The sequence below is a fragment of the Homo sapiens genome, chromosome 19 (assembly GCF_000001405.40).
Source record: "Homo sapiens chromosome 19, GRCh38.p14 Primary Assembly".
In the NCBI taxonomy this organism is placed as follows: Eukaryota; Metazoa; Chordata; class Mammalia; order Primates; family Hominidae; genus Homo; species Homo sapiens.
The window spans coordinates 46,708,336-46,716,130 of NC_000019.10; the positions used below are offsets into that span (position 1 = coordinate 46,708,336).

Here is a 7,795-nt window from a genome sequence, read left to right on the forward strand (position 1 = left end):
CTGAGACAATCGTGTTCTGTCACCTAGGCTGGAGTGCAGTGGCATGATCACGGCTCACCGCAGCCTCAACCTCCCAGGCCCAGGTGATCCTCCCACCTCAGCCTCTTGAGTAGCTAGGACTAGAGGTATGCACCACCATGCCTGGCCAATTTGTTGTATTTTTTAGAGACGGGGTTTCACCATGTTGCCCATGCTGGTCTCGAACTCCTGGACTCAAGCGATCCACCATCCTCCCAAAGTGCTGGGATTATAGGCATGAGCCACCATGCCTGGCCTTCCTTATAAAGGGAAGAGATACCAGGGATCTCTCTCTCCGTGTCCCATGTGAGCGCACAGTGAAATGATGGCCCTCTGCAAGGCAGGAAAGCAGGCTACACCAGAAACAGAACCCTGCCAGAATCTGGATCTTTGTCTTTCCAGCCTCTCACAATTCCAGGGATTTTGAGAAGTAAATGTCTGTCATTTAAGCCACGCAGGGTGGTATTTTGTTAAGGCAGCCCTGACAAACTAAGACAGGTGCCAGGTTGACAAGAGATGGACCCTGATAGTCATGTTAATGTGTCAGCTTGGCTAGGCGAGATCCACAGTTATTCAGACACTAATCTAGATGTTGCCATGAAGGTTGGTTTGTTTGTGGTTTTTTTTTTTTTTTTTTTTTTTGAGACGGAGTCTCGCTCTGTTGCCAGGCTGGAGTGCAGTGGCACGATCTCGGCTCACTGCAACCTCTGTCTCCTGGGTTCAAGTGATTCTCCTACCTCAGCCTCCCAAGTAGCTGGGACTATAGGCACATGCCACCACGCCCGCTAATTTTTGTATTTTTAGGAGAGATGGGGTTTCACCATGTTGGCCAGGGTGGTCTCAATCTCTTGACCTCATGATCCGCCTGCCTCAGCCTCCAAAGTGCTGGGGTTACAGGTGTGAACCACTGTGCCCAGTCAAGGTTTGTTTTTTCTTTTCACCTTCTCAACCCAGCTTTTCCCCGACTCCAGGAAGAACTGGGAAGAGAAGGCCCCATGGAGGTATTTTCTTTTCTTTTCATTTTTTTGAGACAGAGTTTTGCTCTTGTTGCCCAGGCTGGAGTGTAATGGTGCAATCTCAGCTCACTGCAAGCTCTGCCTCCCGGGTTCAAGAGATTCTCCTGACTGAGCCTCCCGAGTAGCTGGAATTACAGGCGTCCACCAACACGCCGGCTTTTTTGTATTTTTAGTAGAGACGGGGTTTCACCATGTTGGACAGGCTGGTCTCGAACTCCTGACCTCAGGTGATTCACCTGCCTCGGCCTCCCAGAGTGCTGGGATTACAGGCGTGAGCCACCGCACCCGGCCCAGTGGAGGTATTTTCTGGATGTGATGAAAATCCATAATCAGCTGACTGTAAGTGGGAGAGGTGATCCTGCTTGTTCTAGGTGGGTCTCATTCAATCAGCTGAATGTTTTAAAAAGCAGATCAGAGACTTTTCGGATGAAGAAATTCCACCTGTGGACATCAGCTTCAGCTTGTGCCTGAGTTCCCACTTGCCCTTCCTGATAGGATGGATTTTTTTTTCTTTTTCTTTTTATTGTTTTGTTTTTGTTTCTGTTTTCAGAAGGAGTCTCACTCTATCACCAGGCTGGAGTGCAGTGGCACAATCTCGGCTCACTGCAACCTCCTCCTCTCAGGTCCAAGCAATTCTCCTGCCTCAGCCTCCCAAGTAGCTGGGACTACAGGCGTGTGCCACCACGTCCGGCTAATTTTTTGTATTTTTAGTAGAGACGGGGTTTCACCATGTTAGCCAGGAGGGTCTCAATCTCCTGACCTCGTGATCCACCCGCCTCGGCCTCCCAAAGTGCTGGGATTACAGGCATGAGCCACCGTGTCCGGCCTTTTTCCTGTTTTTGAGCCAGGGTCTCGCTCTGTCACCCAGGCTGGTGTGCAGTGGTGCAATCAGGGCTCACTACAGTGTCGAGCTCCCAGGCTCAAGTGATCCTCCCGCCTCAGCCTCCCAAGTGGCTGGGACCACAAGTGTCTGTCACCATGCTTGGCTAATTATTTTTTGTACAGGCAGAGTCTTGCTATGTTGCCCAGGCTGGTCTTGAACTCCTGGCCTCAAGTGATCCACCTACCTTTGCCTCCCAAAGTGCTGGGATTACTGGCCTCCCCCACTGTGCCCAGCCAGATTTGAGTTGCCTAGCCAGCCCACACAATTCTGTAAGCTGATTCCTTGCATATAAATATCTCAATATATATCTCCTCCTGGATGTTTCTCTGCTTGATCCCTAACTGATAGAGGCCCCACCCTCTTCCCCCGCCACCCTTCTGCTCCCCTAGGCTCTGTTCTTAAGCCCCTACTTGTCCCTCCCAGCTCCACCTCCTAGGCTCCGCCCCTAGACCTGAGCCCCGGCCCAGCCCCACCACTCCTTCCCCAAGCTCTGCTTCTGGGCCCATCCTTCTTCCCATTATTACTTCCTAGGCTGCGCCCCCAGCTCTGAGACCCGCTCCTCCTCCCCACGCTGTCCCCGTGCCAGGACCATTACGCTCCGCCCCCGGTGCAGAGCCCCGCCCCAGGCCCCGCCCCCAACCCTTTAGCTCTCACCATCGCACTTGAGGCCCTGGCGCACTAGGCCGAAGAGCATCTCCCCGCAGTGATCACAGAAGGCAGGCGCCCGATAGGAGTGCACCGTGAGGGCGTGCGGGCGGATCTGGAAGTCCTCGAAGGTGGCCGAGGCTGTAGGCGGAAAATAGGGGTGGATGCTTGAGGCGGGGTAGGCCAAAGCTTTTCCAGACCCCACGTTCCCTGATTTCTCACAGTGCTCCCAGCCGCAAGGTGTGATCTTTCCTTCCTTCCTTCATTTGCTCTCATACTACATTCTGCCTGGGTTCAAATCCCAGCTCCACCCCTGAACAAAACACATATATCCCTACGCCCTGGGCAGGGACAGAGCGGGAATTGGGGAGTTGTTTAACGGGCAAGGAGCTTCAGTTTCGCAAGATGACAACAGTTCTGGAGACCGGCTGCACAACAGTGTGCGTGAACTTTAAATTACTGAACTGTACGCTTAAAAGTGCTTAAAATGTTGTGGGCTTTTTTGTTTGTGTTTGTTAGAGAGTTTCACTCTGTCACCCAGGCTGGAGTACAGTAGTGAGATCTCGGCTCACCACAAGTCCGCCTCCCGGGTTCAAGCAGTTCTCCTGCCTCAGCCTCCAGAGTAGCTGGGATTACAGGCATGCGCCACCACACCCGACTAATTTTTGTATTTTTAGTAGAGACGGAGTTTCACCATGTTGGCCAGGATGGTCTCAAACTCCCGACCTCAGGTGATCTGCCCGCCTCGGTCTCTCAAAGTGTTGGGATTACAGGCGTGAGCCACTGCACCCGGCCTAAAATAGTAATTTTTATGTTATGTATATTTTACCAAATTAAAAAATTTTTAATTAAAAATACCACCACCAACAACAAAAAAGAACATGGATAGGCGGTGCCCGGTGGCTCACATCTGTAATCCCAGCACTTTGGGAGGCCCAGGTGGGCGGATCACTTGAGGTCAGAAGTTCGAAACCAGCCTGGCCAACATGATGAAACCCCGTCTCTACTAAAAATACAAAAATTAGCCAGGCCTGGTGCCGCGTGCCTGTAATCCCAGCTACTCAGGAGGCTGAGGCAGGAGAATTGCTTGAACCCGGGAGGCAGAGGTTGCCGTGAGCCAAGATCATGCCACGGCACTCCAGCCTGGGTGACAGAGTAAGATTCTGTCTAAAAAAAAGAAAAAAAAAAAAAGCCCAGTGTGGTGGTGCATGCCTGTAATGCCTATAGTCCAGCCACCTCAGGAGGCTGAGGCGGGATGATTGCTTCAGTCTGGGAGGTAGAGGCTGCAGTGAGTGGTGGTCATGCCACTGCATTCCAGCCTGGGTGACAGAACAAGACCCTGCCTCAAAACAAAATAACAGGGCCGGGAGCGGTGGCTCACACCTGTAATCGCAGCACTTTGGGAGGCTGAGGTGGGCAGATCACTTAAGATCAGCAGTTCGAGACCAGCCTGGCCAACAAGGTGAAATCCCGTCTCTACTAAAAATACAAAAATTAGCCACGTGTGGTAGCAGGCGCCTGTAATCCCAGCTACTCGGGAGGCTGAGGCAGGAGAATCGCTTGAACCCAGGAGGCAGAGGTTGCAGCAAGCTGAGTTTGCGCCACTGCACTCCAGCCTGGGTGACAGAGCGAGACTCCGTCTAAAAAAACAAAAAATAATAAAAATGACAAAAACAAAACAAAACTCAGGTTTAGGGGAGAGACAACAATGAAGATAAAAATTCAAGTGAGGCCAGCTTATGATATGAAAGAGTACTTAAAGCCTGAACAAGGTCACTAAAGGTGTAAATCCAGACTTCTGTCATTCATTCATTGAGCCGGTTTCACTGGGCACTGCAGTATGCCGGAGCAGCAGGGAAGGCAGCCATGAAAAAGGCAGCTGCCCCCACCCTCAAGAGGGACCAAGGGCCATAGACTGCTCTAAGGTGCTGAGAGCATGCCCATCTATACTACTGGAATAGTGAGTGGATGAACTGGCTTCTGGCTGTGTCTTAGAAAATCACCTGGGGGCTTTTAAAAATACTGATGTGCAGATTCCATCTCACTTTGCAGAGATTCTGATTTAATTTAGCATTTTCGTGGCAGGAGCCATGGACATCATAACTTTTTTTTTTCTTTTTCTACTTTTTTTCTTTTTTAGAGATAGGGTCTCTCTCTGTTGCCCAGGCTGGAGTGCAGTGACATGATCGTGGCTCACTGCAGCCTCAAACTCCTAAGCTCAAGAAATCCTCCCACCTCAGCCTCCCAAGTAGCTGAGACTACAGACGTGTGCCACCTCGCCCGGTTAACTTTTTTTTTTTTTTTTTTTTTTAAGAGATGGGGTCTCCTTATGTTGCCCAGGCTGGTCTCAAACTCCTGGGCTCCAGCGATCCTCCCACCTCAGCCTCCCAAACTGCTGGGATTACAGGTGTGAGCCACTGCAGCTGGCCCATTTTTTACCTTTATATTTAAGCATAACACAGTCAGTTACAGATCCAACTCCTTCTTCTCCTCTTTTCCCCCTTCTAACTACTGCACTTGACTAGTTTTATAAATAAATAAGTATAACATATGTTCAGGAAAGGCCGCACATCACAAGTGCACAGCTCAATGAATTTTCAAACTGTACAAAGCGTGTCACTAGCATCCTAATCCATAAATGAAAGTTTAGACCAGTCCCTAAAGAGCGCCTTCATGACCCCACTCTGTAACCATCTTCCAGAAGCCCCCAACTCTCCTTATTTTTTTTTTTCAGAGGGAGAGAAAGGGGTAGAGATGGAATCTCACTATGTTGCCCAGGCTGATCTCGAACTCCTGGGCTCAAGCGATCCCCCCAGCTCCAGCTCAGCCTCCCAAAGTGCTGGGATCACAGGCGTGAGCCACTACACCCGGCCTCTCCTGACTTCTAACTCCCCCTACCCTCTCCTCCCCCAGATGCCCCGCCCCCACCCGAGGCCCCGCCCCCAGGCCGGCCACCACCTCTCACCCGACAGCACCACCTCCACCAGGTCGCCCTCCTGGATGTCTCCGGACGAGCGCACCAGCTGCAGGAGGTTGGCCGACGTGGGGTCATGTTTGAAAAGCAGGATCTTGTCGTAAAGGCCGTAGAAGCCACACTCAGGGAACTGAGGGGCGGGAGAGGGATGTGGCGACGGAAAAGCTCAGAGCCGCCTTCAGCAGCGGGCGGACTGTGACCCTCCCAGGGCAGGGCCGGCTGTTTCCCCCGGAAACGCAGAGACCCCGCAGGCCCTCGCTTCCTGCCTGCCCCCTCCCAACCCCAGCGCGAGCCGGGCAGGATGCCAGCGCCCCAATTGTACGGGGAGGGGGCGCCGGCGTGGGTTTGGTGGCTGGAAGGGGGAGCTGGGGTGGGAGGGAGAGTGGCTCCGGGAGCGTGGACACCTCGAATTTTCCGGAACCTGGCGGAGGTGGGAGGGGATGCTGAATGAACACTCCCTCCCCTGTGCCTCCTCCCCAGGCTCACACACCCGCCCCCCAGCTTCCTTCCTGGATCTGTCTATTGTTGTCCCAGTTACCTGGCTCCAGGCCCAGCACTGGGGTGGGGCGAGCTGGAAGGAGGACTTTTCGGGGCTCCTGGGAAAGTGGGGGGGGGGGCCGGGGGACTTGGACTCGAGGGCGCTGGAGATAAGGAGGGCGCCTGCCACCCAATGCTCAAAGGACCCAGGTGTCTGGGTCCTCAGCTTTGGGGGCCTGGGGGCAGGAAATGAAACCTAGTAGAACAGAAAGTGAAACTGCCCCGGTGGGGCCTCGGGAAGGAAGGTAAGCGGCCCTAACACACCTGGACCTGGCAGAAAAATAAAACTGGGGTGAAGCCTGAGCGGGGCAGGCTGGGGACTTGAGCACTGGACAAAGAAGTTCACCCAAGGGACAATCTGCCCCCGTACCCCCACTGCCACCAGCTTCCCATGAAGTGGGCTGAGTTGGGGTGGTGAGCTGGGCCTGCGGGATTGAGGCATTTGGTGGGCAAAACCCTATCAGTTCTCACTGCTAAGAGAGAGTCCACAGAAGACCAGGACTGCCTTGGCCCTGACCCCTTGGGAAGTTTTTCTCTAAGCTTCAGTTTCCTTGTCTGTAGAATGGGGGAGCTGGCCCAGTTCCCCACGTTTCTCTGATGCCCAAAGGATTCATTTCCAGGAGTCTGAAAAGATTCTGGAATTTGGATATTTTGGGACTCCAACATGCTCACATTATAGAATTATACATTCTAGATTCCTACCTGGTATCACTATACATTTTAGGATTTCAATAACCTAAATAAGCGGTAATCTAATATTTTAATATTCTAGGAGTCTGACAAGCTAGGACTGTGCTCTTTGAATTCTTTAGCATTCAAGGACCTCATCCATCCAGCATTCTAAAATTCTAACATTTTAACTTTCTAGGATTCAACAATCTAGGAATCTAATATTCCAGCATTTTAATGTTTTACTATTTCACAAACCTAGAATTCTAATATTTGAACACGAACATGGGGGCAATTTAATTGCCTAGGATGCATATTCCAACAAGTTATGATTCTAATATTCTAACATTTCTACAGTCCAGTACTCCAACACAGAAGCCCACTATTCTTTTAACATTTCACGGTTTAGACGTGGAGTTCCACCTGGTTTCCTCTTGCCATAACACCCAGCTGCCCACCCTGGGGACCCTGGTGTCCAAAATTAAGAGTAGGCTAACAGCACTGTGACTAGGAAAGGGAATAGAGTCCCCAGGGTCTGTAGGAGTGCCTGCCCCTCCACACATATCTCAGGCTTAGGGGAGGGCAGAATTGGGCTCCGAGACCTCACTTGCCCCTGGCAGCTAACTCAAGCACCTGCACCCACACATGTCACCGGATCACCATGGCCAGCCCGGGTTCAATTTCTCCTGTTTCCACCAAATGGGAGGCCCGGGATGGGCCTGGACGTGGAGGTCCGCCGACATCTGCTGCCCCTTCCTCCCCTCTCTACACCTGGCTGGCCCCTCCCTTCCTCCCTGTTTGCTGCAGAAAACAACGACATGCAGGGACATGAAATTTGGGGAGGCCTCTGGGGCACCCCACCCCTGCCCAGTCCTCTCTCAAAGGGATGGTGGGGAGAGGGGCAATGGAGGGGGGCAATGCCCCCTATCCCTCCATCACCCAAAGCTCAGGTCTCCTTCCTCCCTCTTCCGCACACCAGGCCCCAGACCCCTCTGCCAGCGCCCCCTCCTTCAACCTCTCCCCGAGCTGGATCCAGGGAGCCTGCGCCCTCAC

General features: G+C 52.5%; 1 protein-coding gene and 1 non-coding gene across 8 annotated transcripts in view, besides 3 other annotated features; both read right to left on the reverse strand.

The window, feature by feature from the left end:
* Positions 1 to 7,795, reverse strand: part of PRKD2 (protein kinase D2) — a 42,799-nt gene that overhangs the window by 34,020 nt on the left and 984 nt on the right. For 3 of the 7 annotated variants that reach the window (NM_001079881.2, NM_001079880.2, NM_016457.5), the window contains 2 exons: positions 5,528 to 5,666; positions 2,572 to 2,703 (listed from right to left, as the gene is read on the reverse strand). In NM_001079881.2, the coding sequence (NP_001073350.1) occupies positions 2,572 to 2,703; positions 5,528 to 5,666 (271 nt within the window). Of the gene's footprint in view, positions 1 to 2,571; positions 2,704 to 5,527; positions 5,986 to 6,074; positions 7,716 to 7,795 lie in introns of those variants that run through there. The other 4 variants (XM_047438567.1, XM_047438568.1, NM_001079882.2 and 1 more) reach the window with 4 other exon arrangements.
* MIR320E (microRNA 320e) lies at positions 947 to 1,019 on the reverse strand. Its single transcript, NR_036157.2, has one exon. It is a non-coding gene; the product is annotated as a microRNA 320e (primary transcript).
* Positions 1,514 to 2,332: an enhancer, noted in NCBI's record as "H3K27ac-H3K4me1 hESC enhancer chr19:47213106-47213924 (GRCh37/hg19 assembly coordinates)". NCBI's record gives its function as "activates a minimal SCP1, AML or CMV promoter by ChIP-STARR-seq in naive H9 embryonic stem cells {active_cell/tissue: H9 hESC(naive)}" and the evidence as "EXISTENCE:reporter gene assay evidence [ECO:0000049][PMID:30033119]".
* Positions 5,794 to 6,023: a silencer, noted in NCBI's record as "silent region_10822". NCBI's record gives its function as "represses an Ori minimal core promoter by ATAC-STARR-seq in GM12878 lymphoblastoid cells {active_cell/tissue: GM12878}" and the evidence as "EXISTENCE:reporter gene assay evidence [ECO:0000049][PMID:35858748]".
* Positions 6,214 to 6,513: an enhancer, noted in NCBI's record as "active region_14846". NCBI's record gives its function as "activates an Ori minimal core promoter by ATAC-STARR-seq in GM12878 lymphoblastoid cells {active_cell/tissue: GM12878}" and the evidence as "EXISTENCE:reporter gene assay evidence [ECO:0000049][PMID:35858748]".